This window comes from Homo sapiens, chromosome 2 (genome assembly GCF_000001405.40).
Source record: "Homo sapiens chromosome 2, GRCh38.p14 Primary Assembly".
Lineage (NCBI taxonomy): Eukaryota > Metazoa > Chordata > Mammalia > Primates > Hominidae > Homo > Homo sapiens.
The window spans coordinates 13,635,191-13,657,897 of NC_000002.12; the positions used below are offsets into that span (position 1 = coordinate 13,635,191).

A 22,707-nucleotide genomic window follows, 5' to 3' on the forward strand; every position below is an offset into this window, starting at 1 on the left:
CCAGCCAATATCATACTGAATGGGCAAAAACTGGAAGCATTCCCTTTGAAAACTGGCACAAGACAGGGATGCCCTCTCTCACCACTCCTATTCAACATAGTGATGGAAGTTCTGGCCAGGGCAATCAGGCAGGAGAAGGAAATAAAGGGCATTCAATTAGGAAAAGAGGAAGGCAAATTGTCCCTGTTTGCAGATGACATGATTGTATATCTAGAAAACCCCATCATCTCAGCCCAAAATCTCCTCAAGCTGATAAGCAACTTCAGCAAAATCTCAGGATACAAAATCAATGTACAAAAATCACAAGCATTCTTATACACCAATAACAGACAAACAGAGAGCCAAAGCATGAGTGAACTCCCATTCACAATTGCTTCAAAGAGAATAAAATACCTAGGAATCCAACTTACAAGGGATGTGAAGGACCTCTTCCAGGAGAACTACAAACCACTGCTCAATGAAATAAAAGAGGATACAAACAAATGGAAGAACATTCCATGTTCATGGGTAGGAAGAATCAATATCATGAAAATGGCCATACTGCCCAAGGTAATTTATAGATTCAATGCCATCCCCATCAAGCTACCAATGACTTTCTTCACAGAATTGGAAAAAACTACTTTAAAGTTCATATGGCACCAAAAAAGAGCCCACATTGCCAAGTCAATACTAAGCCAAAAGAACAAAGCTGGAGGCATCACGCTACCTGACTTCAAACTATACTACAAGGCTACAGTAACCAAAACAGCATGGTACTACTACCAAAACAGAGATACAGACCAATGGAACAGAACAGAGCCCTCAGAAATAATGCCACATATCTACAACTATCTGATCTCTGACAAACCTGACAAAAACATGCAATGGGGAAAGGATTCCCTATTTAATAAATGGTGCTGGGAAAACTGGCTGGCCATATGTAGAAAGCTGAAACTGGATCCCTTCCTTACACTTTATACAAAAATTAATTCAAGATGGATTAAAGACTTAAATGTTAGACCTAAAACCATAAAAACCCTAGAAGAAAACCTAGGCAATACCATTCAGGACATAGGCATGGGCAAGGACTTCATGTCTAAAACACCAAAAGCAATGGCAACAAAAGCCAAAATTGACAAATGGGATCTAATTAAACTAAAGAGCTTCTGCACAGCAAAAGAAACTACCATCAGAGTGAACAGGCAACCTACAGAGTGGGAGAAAATTTTTGCAACCTACTCATCTGACAAAGGGCTAATATCCAGAATCTACAATGAACTCAAACAAATTTACAAGCTCCATGTTTTTATAAAAATTTTAATTTATGATCAACATGCAAGAAATTGTTTTTTTAGTCTGATCCTTAGATTATAAATTGGCACACCACATCAAATAGTTTTAACTATGATCTTACAGATTTCAGTGATTTTAGTGGTGATAATTGATAACGTATTAGATCCATTCTTGGTGAAAGTATGGATTTATCAGTGTATTTTATCACCACCTTTAAAACAGAAACCATCAGCTTTTTGAGGAGTTCTATATGGTATTCAATAAGATAATATTGTTGCAAAGAAGATCTGATTTTCATAACAAAACTGAAATAAATGCAAAAGATACTTATTAAAAACTCAGTGTTTAAGGTAGTGTTAAGATTAATCAATCAAAGTAAATATAAACCAGAAAACGAAAGGTAGGAAAGTCCTTGATGATTAGCCTTTTAGTAAGGAGGAAGTAACAAAGGACAAAAAACAGTAAAGGGGAACAGAACACTGTAGCAAACTGTCACAGAAAAAGCCAACCAGATTACAAAATTGCAGAAGGTGTACTGAGAGAACTGAGAGGCAAAAATGAATACTTGACATTGTCATAATAGAAAATAGGAACTAAATAAATAAGAATTTAGGCCTTGTCAAATTATGCATTTTAAAATTTTTCTAGGCCGGGCACCGTGGCTCAGGCCTGTAATCCCAGCACTTTGGGAGGCCAAGGTGGGCAGATCACTTGAGGTCAGGAGTTCGAGACCAGCCTGGCCAACATGGCAAAACCCTGTCTCTACTAAAAATATAAAAATTAGCTGGGCGTGGTGGCAGGCACCTGTAATCCCAGCTACTTGGAGGCTGAGGCAGGAGAATCACTTGAACCCTGGAGGCAGAGGTTGCAGTGAACCAAGATGGAGCCACTGCACTCCAGCCTGGGCAACAGAGAGAGACTCCATCTCAAAATAAAATAAATTAAATTTTTTCATATGAAAATCCAAAGAATGATGTGCATAAGAAAGGTTTTATTTACTCTCATAGAGGAAATAGACATCTATACACATATTGTAAAATGAAATGAATGCTCACAAGTGATTCAGAAGCAGTAGTCAAGCTTTTTACTAGAATATGAGCTCCCAAAGAGAGGGTTGTATCTGTTTTGCTTTATCTAGACAAAGCTAGGAATATAGTAGGCATTCAAAAATCACTTTCTGAATAAAGTATCTTTAAGGCCAATTATCTAAGTAGATTTTAGTGTCTTCCCTATTCTAAGTCCTAGGTTCATTAGGGTAAAAAATGTTATAAGGAATAGTAATGGAAATCACATCTGAAGGGTGACATTGATACTTAAATTTAAAAAGTTAATCAGGTGCTTATAAATTTGACAAATATACAACAGGATTCTGAAATATCAAAAGCATTTTTGCTAAAGTAAAAAAAGTATTAGTAATATGTAAGAAAGTTTTTCTCAACACAATTGATGCTCAAAGGCATCCAGTCCATACAAAGTTTTAGTTAACCAGAAATTGATGAACACCCATTCCTTTAATTTACATTCTAATCTATATTTTTCATTTTTTCCTAGCACAAAAATCCACCTGCAGTGTTACAGAAATAAAATTATGGTGTCATACACCATTAAGTGGTTTTGTAACTGTCCAATGGGTTCTCCTTGTCTGCTGCCCAGATAGAGCTGATTTATCAAGACAGGGTAATTGCAATAGAGACAGAGTTTAATACACATAGAGCTGGCTAAAAGAGAGACCAGGATTTTGTTATTACTCAAGTCAGCCATTCTGAAAACTTGGAGAGTAGGTTTTTTTTAACATAGCTTGGCAGGAGAGGGTCCAGGGAACATGGAATGCCAGTTAGTTGTGCTGGAGATGAAATCATAGGGAGTCAAAGCTATTCTCGTGCACTGAGTCAATTTCTGGGTGGGGACCACAAGACCAGATGAACTAGTTTATTAGTCTGGGTGGTGCTGGCTGATTCATCGGAATACAGGCTCTGAAAAATATCTTGAAGGTAAATCCTAGGCTTTACAACAGCAATGTTAGCCACAGGAGTAATTAGGGAGATGAGGAATCTTGTGGTCTCTGGCTGCATGACTCCTGAGCCATAATTTCTAATCTTGTGGATAATTTGTTAATTTTACAGAGATGATCTTGTCCTCAAGTAAAGTGGGGTTCGTTTTGGGGAGGGGATGTTGTCATCTTTGTTTCAATGTTAAACTCTAAACTAAGTTCTTCTCAAAGTTAGTTCAACCTGCACCCAAGAATGAACAAGGGCAGCTTGGAAGTTAAAGGCAAGTTGAAGTCAGTTAGGTCAGATCACTTGCACTGTCATAATTTCTTCACTGTTATAATCTTTGCAAAGAGTGTTTCAATTAATGTTTTTGTCCTTTGGTTTTGAACATTTTAGTGTAGTAAGTTCTTAAAAGCATTTTACATCTAAAATTGTTATTAAGTAAATAGAATGTGTATGCTCTTTTTGTGCAGGTTGTTTTGAAGCATTTTTATTTATTTTTAATTGTGGGTAAATAATTGATATTTTGCAAAAATACATTTTGTTATACTGGTAAAAATCTACTTACTCTTTAAAAATAAAATTTATGTCTCTATTTCTTTTAATCAAAGCCAATGTTAATCACCATATAGGCGATCACAGTCATGTGAAAGAAATCTTAGATACTGATGAAATTTGAATGTAACAAAAGGGAGCAACTTGTCAAGAATAAATGGGGTGATGATGCCTGCAAAGAAAAAGAAGCAGGCAGATTTGTCACCATTTGTGTGCATGGTAGGTTAATTAGGTGAATTCATCATAACCTAGATTTGGTCATCAAGCAGGGCCACCCAAAAAGTAGGGTAGGTTCTCAGTTCACTCTAAAATGTTGGTTATAGCTTGAAGGAGATCTAAATAAGAAATCAAAAGATAATCTGTGTGTCAAAATAATTACATATATGGCTATAGTTGATCAGAATCAACATATCCAGAAAGCAAATGAATCATCCTAAAGGTGAATTTATAAAGACAGAATCAGAGCAAAAGGAAACAGAGTTTTAATGAAAAATAGTAATATAAAGAGTAGCTTTCAGTGATTGAGCACACACTATGTACTATTCTTTTTGAATTTATGTTCTCCAATCTTATCAGCAATTCTGTGAGATAGAAATTGTATTTCCTCACTTGAGTTTAAAGAATAGAGAAAACCAACCAACCTTTCTAATTCCAAAGCTCATACACATTAGAATAATTTTCTTAACAGCTCACACCGCTCTATTCTATGTTAATTATGTGGGACATTCTGTCTAAATATGTTAATATCTCTGAGATGGAACACTCAGAGGAGGAAGACTCAAGTATGCTAATGACTACTGTGCTACGGGTAGAGTTTCCATTTTGTAAAGTGAAGCCATTGGTATTTTTGCCTTAACTTAGTTTGGTCGCTTTGGGCAATCTTTTTTGAGATAATACTTTCTTGGCTCATTTCACTTGATCTCCCATTCAGTTGGTTGGTTAATCATTAGATTTGAATCAGCTACCAACTGGTGAGATAACTTAACCTTCTTTTGCTCATCCAGTTCTTCCAGCACATTAAAACCAGTTCCTGGTATTCAATTTCCCATTTGAAAGAAGTAGCATTGTGTGTATTTTCCTAACTGGATATTGGCTAATACAAATGCAATACAGGAAATATTATGTGACGTGAGAGCACAAATTTAAGAGGAACCAACTGGTACAACCTAGGGAGGAATAGAAAGCTTTCAGAATGAAAATGACACTGGAGCTGATTCTTGACGGCTGAAAGAATAATCTAGGGGAGAAGGTGTAGGAAAAAGAAGTCGATAAAGCTGAATAAAACAAAAACAGCTCAGCAAAGTAGGAACTGAATCAGTTCTTTCATCTCTAATCCCACAAAATACATTTATAAGATTTTTAACTGTGAACCATTTTGACTGTCAAAGATAGGAAGTTATTTCTATGTTATCAATAGCTATGTCCTCCTAGAAAGTGTTTCTTTCATCCTGCTGTTATTTTATTCATTACTTTTCTGTCAAATAATAGAAGGCTCTTTTTGATTTAAATACTAGGAAAGCATGGTGCATGAATATAACTTTCCTCAGGGCATGTCTTTACAAATTGCCTCTATTCAAAAGTATTAGGATTGGGGTTGTGAGAAAAGGAAGCTGTCAATCTAAACTAAAGGAAATGATTAAAACTAATAATATGAATGGATAATTTATAACATGCTTTTTCTAGGGAAAAATTACAGACCCTAGATATTTAATATTGTCTGGGGTTTTCCTCAAAACATCTTTGCATTTTTTTCATCATATCTTACTATTTCTCTTAGGAAATTATACACTGATTTTAATTGTAAAATCTCAAATATGAATATCACAATCTTCAAACTTTTTGACTGATTAATTTGACCAGGAACAAAATGTGTAAACTTACATATCTATAGACTCCAATCTTCATATTAAACATGATGATTTCCTAGTCCACCCATGATGGGTCATAGTGAGGACATTTTCCTATGTATATTCACAGTAGAGGGTAGCTTTTCTGTAGACAATAACATAAAAATTCATTTTACAGGGCCCCTTGCATGTGAGATACATAGAACAGACAGTATCTAATCTGCCATTGATGCAGGACTTATCTTAATCACTTTCACCAGCTGGAAACACCCAGCTGACAATACCCTTGCCCCACCTTGGCCTGCTGCTTTGGGGCTGGCTCAGCCCTGCCAACATTTCTGTCACATGGGGTGGCTACCATCTGCCAGGGGAGGGCAGAGGGCATGATGTTACAGCCTTCTCTGTACACAAGTTCAGTAGGTCCTGAGCTCTTGTCTCACATCCAAGAAGAATGAGGATATGCTGATGATCAAAGAGTGAGGAGGGTGGAGAATAATTTTATTTTATTTTATTTTAATTTTATTATTATTATACTTTAAGTTTTAGGGTACATGTGCACAATGTGCAGGTTAGTTACATATGTATACATGTGCCATGCTGGTGTGCTGCACCCATGAACTCGTCATTTAGCATTAGGTATATCTCCTAATGCTATCCGTCCCCCCTCCTGCCACCCCACACCAGTCCCCGGAGGGTGATGTTCCCCTTCCTGTGTCCATGTGTTCTCATTGTTCAGTTCCCACCTATGAGTGAGAACATGTGGTGTTTGGTTTTTTGTCCTTGCGATAATTTACTGAGAATGATGATTTCCAATTTCATCCATGTCCCTACAAAGGACATGAACTCATCATTTCTTATGGCTGCATAGTATTCCATGGTGTATATGGGCCACATTTTCTTAATCCAGTCTATCATTGTTGGACATTTGGGTGGGTTCCAAGTCTTTGCTATTGTGAATAGTGCCACAATAAACATATGTGTCCATGTGTCTTTATAGCAGCATGATTTCTAGTCCTTTGGGTATATACCCAGTAATGGGATGGCTGGGTCAAATGGTATTTCTAGCTCCAGATTCCCTGAGGAATCGCCACACTGACTTCCACAATGGTTGAACTAGTTTACAGTCCCACCAACAGTGTAAAAGTGTTCCTATTTCTCCACATCCTCTCCAGCACCTGTTGTTTCCTGACTTTTTAATGATTGCCATTCTAACTGGTGTGAGATGGTATCTCATTGTGTTTTGATTTGCATTTCTCTGATGGCCAGTGATGATGAGCATTTTTTCATGTGTTTTTTGGCTGCATAAATGTCTTCTTTTGAGAAGTGTCTGTTCATGTCCTTGGCCCACTTTTTGATGGGGTTCTTTGTTTTTTTTCTTGTAAATTTGTTTGAGTTCATTGTAGATTCTGGATATTTTTGCAAAAATGTTCTCCCATTTTGTAGGTTGCCTGTTCACTCTGATGGTAGTTTCTTTTGCTGTGCAGAAGCTCTTTAGTTTAATTAGATCCCATTTGTCAATTTTATCTTTTGTTGCCATTGCTTTTGGTGTTTTAGACATGAAGTCCTTGCCCATGCCTATGTCCTGAATGGTAATGCCTAGGTTTTCTTCTAGGGTTTTTATGGTTTTAGGTCTAATGTTTAAGTCTTTAATCCATCTTGAATTAATTTTTGTATGAGGTGTAAGGAAGGGATCCAGTTTCAGCTTTCTACATATGGCTAGCCAGTTTTCCCAGCACCATTTATTAAATAGGGAATCCTTTCCCCATTGCTTGTTTTTCTCAGGTTTGTCAAAGATCAGATAGTTGTAGATATGCGGCGTTATTTCTGAGGGCTCAGTTCTGTTCCATTGATCTGTATGTCTATTTTGGTACCAGTACCATGCTATAATAATTTTATTGAGCAACGGAACAGCTCTCGGGGAGAGGGCACACAGGAGTGGTCCCCCACTCCTGCAATCAGGTCGTTTCTCCCCCAGGATGGCTGAGTCTGGAGTTTTTGTAGGCACAGGATGGGGGTGGGGCAGGCCATAGGTAGTCTTGGAAAAAGCAACATTCAATTGATTAAAAAGTATAATTCAGAAATAACCAAATGGAAAAGGGCAGGAAAACAGAAACAGAATTTCTCACTCCAGGTTGTGTTTTTCATCAGGAACCAGCAGTCTGGTTTTTCAGTCTTCAGGCTGTTTTTGGCTTGAAGGTAGGGTTTTACCAGGGAAGTGCCCCTATCTGCCTAGGCATTTGTCTGTCTCCTGCCACTATTAATTTTCCCCTATCAAGAGGTACACTGCCCTTAGGAAAAGGATGGTGATCACTCTTATCTGCTTTCTGCTGACAGGTAAGCTGTTTTGGAAAGAGAGCAGTCAGATCTCTCTCATATGCCTATCTAAGGGTCTCTGGTAAATGGCAGCCATAATATGAGGCTCCAGTTGCATGAACATTTGGAGTTTGATGGCCTGAAGGCAAGAAGAGACAAACCAGATTATTAGAAGACATGTATCAAAATGAAACAAGGGGGTAAAGACAGCTCAAAATTCCCAAGGCTGCTGACATGCCCAGATAACTGGTGGATATAGTTATGCCTGCTAAAAGGTGGTTTCAGGTGAAGATAAGACACTTGTTGGGAACTGGAATAAAGGTGATACGCAAAGAGACTGGTGGCATTTTGTTCCTGCTCTACAGATCCGTGAAACTTTGAACTTGAAAGAGATGATTTAGATTATCTGGCAGAAGAAATTTCTAAGCAGCAAAGTGTTCAAGAGGAAGCAGAGCATAAAAGTTTTGAAAATTTGCAGCCTGACAAAGCAGTAGAAAAGAAAAACCAATTTTCTGGGAAGGAATTCAAGCTGGCTGCAGAAATTTGCATAAGTAACAAGGACCCAAATGTTAACCACCAAGACAAGGGGGAAAATGACTCCAGTGCACATCAGAGATCTTCATAGCAGCCACTACTATCACAGACCTGGAGGCCTAGGAAAGCAAAATGGTTTTGTGGGCTGGGCCCAGAGCCTCCTGCTCTGTGCAACCTTGAGACATGGTGCCCTCTGTCCCAGCTGCTTCAACTCCAGCTGTGGCTAAAAGGGGCCAACACACAGTTGAGGCTGTTACTTCAGAGGGTGCAAGCCCAAACCCCTGGTGGCTTCATGTGGTGTTGGGGCTATGGGTACACTGAGGTCAAGAATTGAGATCTGGAAACCTTTTCTTAGATTTCAGAGTATGTGTGGGAACCCCTAGATGTCCAGGAAGAAGTTTGCTGCAGTGACAGAGCCTTCATGCAGAGCGTCTGCTAAGGCAGTGCAGAAGGGAAATGTGGTGTTGGAGCCCCCACTCAGAGTCCCCACTGGGGCACTGCCTATTGGAGCTATGAGAAGGGGGTCACCATACTCCATACCCCACAATGGTAGATTCACTGACAACTTGCACCGTGCCCATGGATAAGCTACAGACACTCAATGCTAGTCAATGAAAGCAGCAGAGAGTGGGCTATACCCTACAAAGCCACAGGAGTGGGGCTGCCCAAGGCTGTGGAAGCCCACCTCTTGCATCATCGTGACCTGGATATGTGACATGGAGTCAAAGGGAGATCATTTTGGAGCTTTAAGATTTGGAAGCCTTACTGGATTTCTGACTTGCATGGAGCCTGTAGCCCCTTTTTTGGCAAATTTCTCCCATTTGAAACAGGTGTATTTACCCAATGCCTTCACCTCCACTGTATCTAGAAAGTAATTAACTTGCTTTTGATTTTACAGGCTCAATGGTGGAAGGGAATTGCCTTGTCTCAGACAAGATCTTGGACTTGGACTTTTGGGTTAATGCTGGAATGAGTTGAGTCTTTCGGAGACTATTGGAAGGGCATGATTGTGTTTTGAATTGGAGGACATGAGATTTGGTAGGGGCCAGGGGAAGATATGATATTGTTAGGTTCTGTGTCCCCACCTAAATCTCACCTTGGATTGTAATAATCCCTATGTGTCAAGGGTGGGGCCAGGTGGAGATAATTGAATCATGGGGGCAGTTTCTCTCATGTTATTCTCGTGATAGTGAGTGAGTTCTATGAGGTCTGATGGCTTTTATAAGGAGCTTTCCCCTTCACTCAGTGCTCATTCTCTCTTCTGCTTCCCTGTAAAGAAGTGCCTTCTGCCATGATTGTAAGTTTCCTGAGGCCTCACCAGCAATACAGAACTATGGATCAATTAAACGTCTTCCTTTATAAACTACCCAGTCTTGGGTATGGCTTTATTAACATCTTGAGAACAGACTAATCCACAGGGTTAGTCTAAAATACAGATAAAAACTTAAACTACTAATGAGACTAGAATTTAATGACTAGTCTATAAGTTTTGAAACACAAGTTGTCTCTCTCCAGTCTTTATTTTTTTAAAAAAAAAAAATTATGACAGAACTGAGTTGTTTGCAAAATAAAGTTTAGTCTTATACTTGGCCTGATTAATTGCATAAAGTGCAGCAAGAATAATTATTTTCCCATAGGCTTTTCTAGATTGGCTTTGAGGGAACTCTGTTTCACAATGAATCTCAGATAAGACCTTTTAAAGCCAAGCCCAGCAATGGGTTTGTATGCTGAAATATCTGTGAGTCAGGTAAATTCCTCTCTTCCTGAGGTCCCAAGATAGCTTGAGGTTCCTAGACCTGTTAGAATGTGACATTCTTTACTCATCGCAGGTCAAGAACCCCATACAGGGACTTTGTAGACAATGCATGAGGCCAGTTTTCCCAAGGGATTTATATTGGTTCTGTAAGTTAAGCTTAATTCCCTGAAGGAGAGCACACCATTCTAGTCAAACCCTTGATAAAACAATTTTTTTTTGTCCAATTGTGTCCTGCTGCAAAAGAAAATGGATTCTTATTGTACTTATGCAAATAACTATATTGCCATTAGTTAAGAATACTCACAAATAGTTTCCAAATTCTGGAGAAACCAGGTAAGGAGAAACAACTACCTTCAAATTTTATTCACAGGAATATACTTTACTCAATTTTTAAAAGTTGCAGATAGCTCAAATTTTCCTTGACTCTGAAAAATAAAACAAGGTTCAACAATATTTTAAACAAAAAGTTAAAAAGGATTACTTCAGTTTTCTATTTAGTTCATTCCACTTACTTTTGCTCTGCTTGATATTCATGAACATCACAGCTCTTCATGAGTCCTGTACATTTTTCCTCTATGCCATTATCACAACATCCAAAGTTATCAGAAACCTGCATTTGACAGCACCTGCTGAAGTCCTAGAGCTGATTATAAACCATCTTTTGTAAAGGATCAAGCAAGACAGCAATTGTCTGTGAGTTACAAAATGTCCAGAGGAGTTACAGTCAAAAACATGATTGACAAAGAAATTAGGTTGTATCTGCGATTTACAATAACTTAACATTATATCCTTTATTATGATTGGTAGCATATACACAGACATTAGAATTTTATAAATGCCATAAAATTTTGAAACATATATTAATACTCACTAAAATATAACTTGAAGAAGATTAAACCTTATTTTTATTTTGGCAATCCCATGTAACTCAGCATGTGAAATAGCCCTGTTCACCTCTCTTTTGGATGCTCCAGGGGCCTCTGTAGCATTCAAAAGTTTAGGGGTCAGAAAAAACACAACTTTTGAAGCTGAAGTTTAATTTGTAGAAGCCTGTTAAATATTTTAGAGATTTAAACACTTCATATTATTAAATAGAACTCCAGATTACCTTAAGTTTTTTATTTAGCCAAAATATGACTCAAATATTTTAAAACAAGGCAAAAACCTTTACTCATTAAGACAGAAGACTTAACTTTCCAAACAATTTGTTTCTTGTTATCTTCTTTTTTGGTAGTTCATTCACAAGGCAAACAAAAATCATTCATTATCCTTTAGTATTACATAAAAATCTTGTTCAAGGGAGAGAAAGCCAAATTTCACCCTTGCATTAGTCTACTAACAATCTTAACCCCAATTTTTAAATGAAACCTTATAGATAATTCTATCCAATCTTAATCAGTTTGACCATGAGGTGAGATTACTATAAACCTTTTATAATCCTTTGCAAATTTTTGTTAAAAAGGACATCAGTGCCTTAAGAAAACCTTGTGTTTTTATTTCAATGCTCAATTTACAGAAAAACCATATAATACTCTTTTGAATCTTGTCAATATGTTCACATAAAGAATTTATTTGCTAAGATTAATTTTTACAAATCTTTCATAAATTTTTTAAACATTCAGCTTTATCTTATCTAATTTAAGACAATCCTTTAACCCTCTAACTAGGCAAAAATTTACATTGTCATGTCTTTTTATAATCTTTTAGTAAAATCACATTTAACTTTCCTTACATACCTTGAATGTAAATCTATTTTCAGTAGTCTCAGTATAACAATTACATGTAATAATGGTAACTCTTAGCAATTTTTACTTTTAATGTAAAACCTGGTAAGTTATTTTAATTACGTACTAGGTGCATATAAGGTCTGACTCTTTCCAGCAAAGTTGGGGGCGTGGTTAGTTTCATATGTCTCCAGGCCTTACCAAACTGTAAAGCAGGCAAATTGAACAATTTTCAAAAGCCAAAGAAGCAGTTTGTGACTTTAAAGCATTTAGCAAACCTAATATCTGAACATAATTTAGACCACAATTTTACATTTTGAAAACATTTGTATTTTACCAATAATCTTTAATACTGTTTTTATTTTTCAAATAGTAAAGTCATGTGAACTGAAAGACATTACAGCTTGCCTTTTCTTTAAAAATATTTGAGCTAAGCACTTATTTTTCTGCATGCCAATTACTTAGAGCTCTTTTGTATATGAACATCACACACATAAACCATATATGCAGACAGGCAGAAGAAGATCCAGTAATTGTAAGATTTTTACTTGCCAATCTCTTAATTGAATTATTGGCCTCATGGTGAAGCCTTTCAAGAAATAGGACTAGGAAAACATTCAGTTTTTAGGGTTTAATAATCAGGTATAGCTGGAAGACAAAAACAGATTTTTAGAGGGATCTATCCACTTTTAATTCTTGGGGTTCCATGAGGAAAACAGATATTTTTTTCCAAAATTGGGTATGTGGTGCCTTCTTTGTTTCTCCCAAGGAGTCCCAAGCTATCAGAAGTTACCTTAGGGCCTCTCGTGTGTGCATTAAAAGTGAATAAAGATAATTCAATTGACTGAGAAGAAAAAACCCTTTTTCCAGCAAAACAAGATCCAAGAAGATTAAAAAAAAAAAGACATAAAGGCCCTGTAAATATATCTATAGCTTGGATATCCATATTTAATGAAGCTGAATTTTAAACATAGCACTCTTTTAAAAAATTATTTTAAATCCATTATTACACGACTTTAGCCACGCCAAGTGGCCAATATTTCTGGCTTTTGAACTTAACCAAAAGTAACCTCACAGATGAAACCAATAAGCGTTAACTATGGTTATGACTTAACTGCGAGTGTATGAGGTATTTTCAAAGAGGTGATAAGGAGTTTTTACAATATCTAGAATCTTCAATGGTAGCTCAGAGAAAGAAAGATTTAAGAAAGGATTCTAGAAGTCGTTCATGGAAGGGAAGCGAATCAGCAAATGTCACACAGATATTAACCAGAAAGTACTCATTTCCTAAGCCTGGGTTGAACCCAGGCTGTCATTGTAAAATGGCAGAGATCAAAAGAAAGGACTGCCACATGGTTACAAGGTCAAGCTCCCGAGGATGTAAAACAAGGTGGAGAACTCATCCAGTTTGTTTGTTTTTTCCTTCAGAGACCTGCAGAAAAGTTGTTACTAACCAGTTTGCTAGGCTGGCTTGAACAGTGAGCTTATGGGGTCCTAGGCCAGCATTCTATCCTAAGGTAACCCTCTTTCTGATAGAACCATAAAGAAAGACACACAAAGCGCACCAGATTGGCTATAGCATAAGACTAGCCTCACAAATTCTTATTTCCATTAATCAAAACTTTACAGAGGATGTACACAGTGATTTTTACCATTCCCACAACCAGTTTGCACAGAGAGAGAGAGGCCAGAAGTCTGACTGGTAAGAGCTTTTACTCTTTTGTCAGCATGTCAGGCTGCTGGGTTTCCTTCCCCTGAGCTGTGGAGCCCTTTTGACCCTGGAGTCCTGTAAAGGGGGAATAGACAAATAGGTTTTATTTGCATACTGTAAAAGTTGTCCCTCCTCAAGAGACTTGTGTAGTTAGATCTGTAATTTCTTCCTGATTCATTTTTAAACCAAACAGTTTAAGGTTTGGGGAAATTAAATTTTTCTCAGTTTGGGGAATACATCCCAGGGGAGGGTCCTGTGTTATGGACACACAATTACTCATCCACAAAGAGAGGATGGAGAAGGAAACAGGAGAAATTGGGCATTTTTTTCCACAGGAGTCCCAATGATTCAGGATGCATTCAAGAGAAATACAGACCGACGATGGTTGGTTACCCATCTGGAAATAGGGGAAAAATATATTCTGTAGTTTGTTTCTCTTCCCAGTGAATACACAGAGTGTGTGAGAGAGAGAGACAAAAAAGTGTCCCCGTTTTGTCTTCCGCACTTATATTTCTGAGTCCTGGCAACCTCGGTGGGCACCACTTGTGGGTGCCAATGTGGTTTTCACCCATATAACAGGGAGACCAACAGGGTAGGATTCATCTGCACTCACCTATGCACTGGCCTATCCTCCCCGCTGTCAGTAACGTTTGAGTTCCCTAGATCTCATCTATGCCATGTATACGAGCATGATCTCCATCCACGAAACGGGGCAGGGGGACTGGGGGGGCACTAATCAGCTGGAATTAGTCATACTCACGTGTACTGTGCCCCTTGACTTCTGTTGTCATCTGCCTCTGGATCCCTCAAATCCAGTTTTCCTTTCTAGGGCTTCAACTGGAAGCTTGGGATTGAGTTTGGGACAAAAAAAAAAAACCTCAGGAGGGTACATGGACTCATTAAGATAAGTCCCAGGTGGCCCTTGCCAGACTGCAGTCAACAGCCAGGAGGGCTGCTCTTTCACTGCTTTCTTACCATAAGCCAAAAGCTAAGGTGAAAACTGTGGAACTGAATCCTCCTCAAACAAGGGAGAGAACAGGGAGTCCCTTAGAATTTGGGACCTGACCTAGGAACATGTCTTCCAGAAAAAAAAAAAAAGAAACGTAGAAAAGTTTTCTGTATTCACAGGGCTGTGTTAACTCCTAGCATGGTGGAGAAAAGAAGTAAAAACTTCTTTTAATGCAGGGAGGGGAAGATGCCTGGGGAAAAAGTCTCTTGCTCTCATGCAAATTGGTTCCTTCAACAGGGAAAAAAAAAAACAAACAACTTGTAATCACTGACTCCTCCCTGCTTCTGAGAATAGATGAAAACTGCACTATTCTGAATTAAATTGTTGATGACTGTTCTGAATTACATATTTTGATGACTATAACTGGATAGTTATAGAAATATAACTATCCAGTTATGTCTCTAGTTTGCAACAACACCCCAACATTGTCAAAGAAAAGATAGGTGCCATGACGCCCTAAAATAAAGAAGGAAAATGCCATAAAAAAGACTAGATTATACTGAAACTGACATTCCCAACCCCTGAGAGCCAAGAGGGTGGTGGTGGCAGTGTCCTCTCCTGCATCCTGTCCTCTGTAGTAGTGCTATTCACTCTTAACTAGCTAATCAGAGATTTGGTCCTTCATATGTCTTTAGTAAAAAGTCTGAGGACAAGAAGCCTTAGAAAACAATGAAGAGTGTAGTTCCACATTTACTCACCCTTCAGGGATCCCAGATGATCCCCCAGAAAATGACACAGGATTCTTCTCCATCACTTTTGCCAGCCAGAAACACCTGGCCAGATGCTCCCTTGCTGCACCTCGGCCCAAGGCATCAAGGCAGGCAAAACCCTGCCAGTGTTTCTGTCACATGGTGTGTCTGCCCTCCTCCAGCAGAGGGCAGAGGGCCACGATGTTATAGCCTTTTCTATACACATATTCAGTGTGTCCCAAGCTCTTGTCTCATGTCCAAGAAAAATGAGGATATTCTGACTCAAAGAGTCAGGAGGGTAGAGAATAATTGTATTGATTGACAGAATAACTTTCAGCAGAGGGGAAATGGATGGTCCCCCACTCCCATGCTTGGGTGGTTTCTCCCCCAGGGTGGCTGAATCTGGGGTTTTTATAGGCACAGGATGGGGGAGGGGCGGGCTGTAGGTAATATGGGAAAAGGAAACATTTGATTCATCAAGCATTATTCAGAAAGAACCAACCAGGAAAGGGCAAGAAAACAGGAAAAGAAGTTCTCACTCTGTGTCACATTTTTCATCCAGAATGAACACTTGGGTGTTTCAGCCTTCTGGCTGTTTTTGGCTTGAAGGTGGTGGGGTTTCATTGCAGACCTGCCCATATCTGCCTAGGCATTTGTCTGCTTCCTGCCACTATGACCATTAAGACTCTCTTCTCTGTCCACTCTTTTGTCTCAAGGGAGACAGGCCTTCCTGGTGTGTAGGTGTTTATATTTCACAGGCCATCCCACACAGCTGTCAAGGGTTAATTCCTCTGTAAATCTTATTGGATTCATCACTTTTCATTTTCATCATATTATTATCACTTTTGCTTCTACAAAGCTTTTTTGTCAGCATCAAAAAAAAATTAGAAAAAGGTACATTAAGATGGGGAGATGTTAAGTGACTTGTTGGTTATTCAGCTAGTGGCAAAGCAATGGTTAGCACCCAATCCTGACTTTCTGAGACACTCATAATCCACAGAAATCCTAAACCTTTTGTCTACTACCAGGCATATAAACAGAACCTTACTGTTATCTCATAAATATGTACTATCATTTACAGTTTCATTATTAATTTTACTCTTCTCAAGTACCAAAACACCACCTCCCCCTGACAAATGAACTTATGCTTTTTATGTTCTACCTGTGAGTACTAGGATCATCAATCATATCTACAGCTTCCCCTCAGTTGATTTATGGATAGTTTGTATTTTCACTGTATCTGTCTCACACCTTTTTGAAAAGGGAACATTGTATGGCTACTTTTATGTGATTAACTCCTCCATCAATTTATGTGTCAATGATTGCCTTCCTGTAATGGATTCAATTTCTCTGTCCCCATTGTTTCTTTCTCACTAGAGAAGTTCTTTAAAATTCTATGAAAATGAAACTGTGCTAAATTAAAAATCTACTCATGATAATAGGAGACACTCAAAATTATGGGTTTCAGTTTCAGGCTTCTCACCATGTCCTCAGATTGTACTCCCTTTCTAGCCCTTCTGCAGCAAATAAACCTTTGCCATCAGTTCACCAAAAGCACTCATGAGAGGAAAAATGGCATATCACTAAATATAGAGTTCTTTGTCACTTCTTGATTTCAAATTTACAACTAATACTCAACACTTTAATTAAATCTTTCTTTTCTCTTCTTCCTAAAACATACATGCAAATTAAAAAAAAAATCTTGACCCTATTTCCTGTCTCTCTTACTCTTCTTCTGCCTTCTGTATGCACATGCAAGAAATCTATTTTCATCTGTTTTATTTCTCAGTTTTACATATGGGAATTCATCTTCTAGTCATCTAATATCAATAATTCCCAAATCTAGATCTCTAGTTTTATAGATAGTTTTATTTTGCATATTAATTTTTTCTGCTATCTGTTTAACAGCATATTCAAAAACTAACTCATTATCTCTTTATTATAAAATGCATTTTTCCTTTTACTATCATTATCTAAAAGTTCATTAATAATATGCTAGAATACTTTTTATTTTTAAAGCAAATGATCACTGAAATTGTCTTGCTCAGTATTACAATTTAAACAAATAATCAAATGATCATTGTGTGACTCATGAATAAGTCATCTCCATCAGCACATGGAATAAATAGTTGGAAACGTGGAAGAAGTGCAACATGAAGCAAAATACAAATTGAATCAATCAGGAAGCATTCAGAAAGCATTAAATAATCAGGCAGATGAGGGAGTAAATGGCAGGGGATAACTGCTTTTCTGACTTTGGCATGGCTGACCATTAGACCCTCTTATGAAGTGTAAATGGGACCCACTTATAGGTAGATAGGAATGAACCTACAGCCTGGATGGGTACATTCTCTTAATTATAGGCATAAAAAAGAAGAGTGTCTTGAATAAAAATTGTTTACAACAAATTATATAGGAAATACAGTGCTGTAGTAGATACCTCTGGTGCCTATGACATGCCCCCTCAGCCCACCTCAGATGCAGCCACAGCTGTTGTGAACTGTTATGAGGAGCTCAGACTCATTTCCTGCTGCCAATGACTCACCTAGTGTCAACTCCGCCCAACTTTCTGCATTCTGTTGCCAGGTCTTCTTCAGTGGCAATTTCATCTGGAAGGGCAGGGGCTTATCATCCTCAAGGCAACCTTTAACTAACAGTTACTGCAGACAGTGGGAAAAGGCATTAGCTTTTTAGGTGAACAATCTAAAAAGCATCCTCTATGATTGTCAGAAGTCTCATGCTGCCTACAGATGACATAACAATAATAGACCTTAAGTTAGCTTTTCCTCTTTTCCTGTCTCATGCTCTAAAATCTGTTATTCCATAGATCATCTCCCCAAAAAACATCTGTATGTATGCAAGTTCTTTTTTCTGTCCATTTTTGATAACCCTAAATTAAGACAAGCACATTTTGATATTTTTTTTTCCTAACTCGATAATAAATGTGTAATTACATTTATGCAAGAATTATTTTCTTCCAGGCTAACCCTGTTAATTTGTCTTTCAAATTCCCAAAATTTTATTTTTGTCTGTTCGTAGTCTTCAGCATGTGGATGAGAATGTGACATTTTTTCTTTAGTGCTCTTATTTAGTATATTTTGGTATTCGTTTATTCACTTGCTTCAGCAACAATCTTTAATTAACAAAAACCCTTAATTGAATTCCACAATATGCTTTAGTTTCCAACAATAGCCTCTGCAGTTGTTGATCAATCTCTTTCTCTCTGAACTGCAAGGCTTTTCACTGCACTTATGTGTCTTTTACAGATTGCATTTGTCTCTGTCATGATCAGTATATTGCTCAAGCAGTGGAAATAAGAAAAGAATTATAAATATTATCCAATGAGAGACTCACTTCTTCTGTGGCCTGAATGGAAAATGTACTCTCATTGTGTAGCACCATGCCTTTGTGTGTAAAAAATCAATAACTATTTCTTGGAAAGAGGATCATCTAGGTTCACCCCCTGGGCTCGGAAAAGGAAACTTAAGTTATTACACCTAATAAGCTCTGTGGGCTTAGATATGTAAATCTTCTCTTGCTCTCCACTTGTACATCTATACAATAACATTATCTTGGTGATTTTACGGTTGTCTCCAGCTAGAAAAATGTCTATGTACAAAAAAAATGCCTTTTTCTTTATATTATTTCCCTCTTTTATAGAAAACAAAGATTTTTGTTTAAACAACCTCTATTTTTACTGCTTTTTTTAAAAAATTATACTTTAAGTTTCAGGGTACATGTGCATAATGTGCAGGTTTGTTACATATGTATACATGTGCCATGTTGGTGTGCTGCACCCATTAACTCATCATTTAACATTAGGTATATCTCCTAATGCTATCCATCCCCCATCCACCTACCCCACAACAGGCCCCAGTGTGTGATGTTCCCCTTCCTGTGTCCATGTGTTCTCATTGTTCAATTCCCACCTATGAGGATGTTTTTGTCTTTCAACAATGGAACCTCCTCTTCATGTCCAGACACCAGGATAACTTTTTTCCAGCTAGTCCAAAGATCTGTTGTTGTTTCATAAAACCACACAGTGGCTCATAAACTAAGGCAGCTTGCTTGTAAAGATTTCAGCTAGATAAGCATCCTATTTGGCACCAACTATTCATCTCTCAAACTAGGTTTGTTTACCTAGTTTCCTATCTCAGCTATAACACCTATACTTAATTTCTAGTGAATGTTAATTTATATCTCACAGCCCAACCTGATGTATTATCTCAGCAGCTTGCCAGAATGAATTTTCAGTTTCTTTAACACATTGAATTAAATCTACTGTCACTGAGAAATTTACTTTTATTTAAACATGTATTACTATTAATATATCTCTTAGAATTTTCTGTTAGAGGTCACACTTATTGGACAGTTGCAAAAAACATAGAGGTTTAATACCAAACCAGACAAAGTTCAAATCCAAATTCCCACTTTTATTAACTCCATGAAATTTTATCTCTTTGAGTTTCTAATTATTTCCTGCAATACAGGTAAAATATTTACTCAGAAGGCTTAAAAATAAAATGATACAGTATTTATAAAACAAGTAACAAAAGACCTAGTACGTGACATGTCCTCAACAAATATTACTTCCTATAAAATAATAAATGTAGTCTAATTCCAAGGATTCCAAAAGATAAATACAATTGATTCACATCAGTTATAGGAGATCGAGAAATATGTCTTTGTCTTTGGAGCCATTGTATAGTAGGGAAAATAATGCAAGTCCTGCATTCAGAGGTAGAATCATTCCCCTGTTTGGCACATACTAGGTGCATGCCCACTGGCAAGTTGTATAGAGACAAATGCAATCTGTAAAAGACACATAAGTGCAGTGAAAAGCCTTGCAGTTCAGCAAGCCTTTATGTTTCTTGGTGAAATAGGTTCCTTATTATAGAACTGTTTTGAGGGGAACATTAGATCCAATAACAAACACAAAATGCCAAACAAAGTACCAGGCAGGGAGTTGATCCTCAAGCCACAGTAGCTAATAATAACTAAATAAGTTGTTAGCACCTTTCAATACAGATGAGTTTAAAAGTACGTCCTGTTGAAAGGCCAAGAGGTAGTTTACCTGTCAGCGTGTCTAAATATATTAGTGCAATATGGGCATTGTGCAAATGGATCCAAGATTGACTCCAGTCTTAAATACATTTCTTCCTTGTGAAAGAATTGTTTTTCAAATATACAGGCTTGTGTGTTGTTACAGAATGTTTCTCATATCTCTGAGGATATTTCTAAATTAATCAATTGGTATTGTTTGGGAAAAGATTAGATATATTTATCTTCTAGAGGACCCCTGTAATGTTTCAGTTTCCAACTTTATTAAACTAATGCCAATTCTATTTATCAACTTAAATGTCCTTTCTTCTAGGAAGTCTTCCCTTACTTAGGTGAGGTGTTCCTACTTTGGCTCTAGGGAAGTCTAGGGGAGCAAAGGTCACAGATGCCAGTGTCTATGTTCCATTAAGCACCAAAATTGGTGATTCTCAGGCATTGCTTTAGAAACTACTTAGCTCCCTGCCTGAGCCCTCTGATCATGTATATGCCTGAAAATAAATCAACAGAATTGTGGTGTCTTCTTCTCTCCAAATTTCAAATCTCACCTTAGTGACTCTCATAAGAGGAAGCAAAAAGAAACGCTTATATTGTCCCTGGCTTGTACCCTACAATACAACAGAGATCTGAGAAGAAGCTCGTGGCAATAGTGAGTTAACAATCACAGACTTTACCAGAATAAAGATAAAGAAAAAGATGTTCCCTTAATCATTCTATTTTCCTCTTTTGGGTCCATGACTACCAGATAGCTAGAATTGCTGTGTTGAATAAATCAAGAGGATGAAATAAAATACAATTATAAAGTGTTTATTTGAGTTGCACATGCATGAGCTATACAAGCAACTATCTGATTACTCTGCAGGTTGTCAGATGTAATGCAGAGATGGTGCAGACTGTGTTCAGGACTTTAGCTGCTCAGGAAGATTTCTTAGTACTAAATTGTCCAATCGGCATGCTTTTTTATATATTCATGTGACTAATAACTGAGGTCGTGGAATAATTAAATACCTATGTTGAATAAATAGCATATGAAGATAAGCCAGAAAAAGAATATTTTCAAAGCAGAAGGAGGTTTACCATGTTTATCTACTTTAGCATCAGCATTTAGATAATTAGAATTCTATAGGAAGGGATACCTGAAAGTTTTTAATTTTTCTCCTTTCTTTTCCTTTTCCTTTTTTCTTTTAAAAAAATTCTTTCTTTTTATCTCCTTTTTAAAAAGTATTCTTTTAAAATTGAATATAGTGTATGTGTAGTATACAAATCTTAAACATATAACTCAATGAAGTTTATACATGTTTGTAACCATTTAACCACTACTCACATTGAGATATAGAATGTTTTCATCAACAAAAAATGACTCCTCCTGTTCCAACTCACCCACTACATTCCAGAGGTAATTCCTGTTCTCATTTTTTATTATCAGAGATTAGTGTTTTCTGTCATTGAGATACATGGTGAATTATATAAATATTCTCTTTGTGTTTCTGTTGTTTCATTCAACGTATCTGTGAGATTCAGCAATGTTGTTGTGTGTTATCAGTAGCTTGTTTATTTTTATTTTTATATAGAACTCTATTATGTAAATCTATTACACGTCACCTAAACATTCTTTAGTTACTAGTTTTTAAAGTTGTTTCCACATTTTGGAATTATGAGAAGCTGCTATGAGCACTCTAACATATACTTTTGATTGACATACACACTCTTAACTATATAATCTAGGAGTAAAATGTTGGGTCATAGTGTTGGCTTGTGTTTACTATAAATGGATATAAGGCCGGAAGTGGTGCCTCATCCTGTAATCCTAGCAATTTGGAAGGCTGAGGCAGTCGAATCACTTGAGTCCAGAAGTTTGAAACCAGCCTGGGCAACATGGCAAAACTTCATCTCTACAAAAAATACAAAAATTAGCTAGGCGTGGTGCCTAACACCTGTAGTCCCTATTATTCAGGAGACAGATGGGAGGATCGCCTAAGCCTGGGGAGCTGAAGACTGCAGTGAGCAGTGATCATGATCGCAGCACTGCACTCCATCCTGAGTGACTAGTAAGACCCTGTCTGAAAAAAAAAAAAAAAAAAAAAAGATGTAACACTCTTTTCCAAAGTGATTTACCTCAGAAAATAGAAGAGTTCCACTTCCTGTACATTCTCTCCAGCACTTGGAGTCCACGTATTTCCAATATAGTCATTGAATTAGTGGTGTATTATTACAATAATGTCATTTCTTGTTATTACTATTAAATTTA

The 22,707-nt window shown here is 37.3% G+C and overlaps 2 long non-coding RNA genes across 6 annotated transcripts in view; one reads left to right on the top strand and one right to left on the bottom strand.

Annotated features, from left to right (window-relative positions):
* The window catches only part of LOC105373438 (uncharacterized), a 220,483-nt gene that overhangs the window by 97,277 nt on the left and 100,499 nt on the right, over positions 1-22,707 (top strand). The window lies entirely within an intron of this gene.
* Positions 6,152-10,693, bottom strand: LOC124907736 (uncharacterized). Its single transcript, XR_007086223.1, has 2 exons — positions 10,573-10,693; positions 6,152-8,117 (listed from the first exon to the last, which is right to left on the bottom strand). It is a non-coding gene; the product is annotated as an uncharacterized LOC124907736 (long non-coding RNA).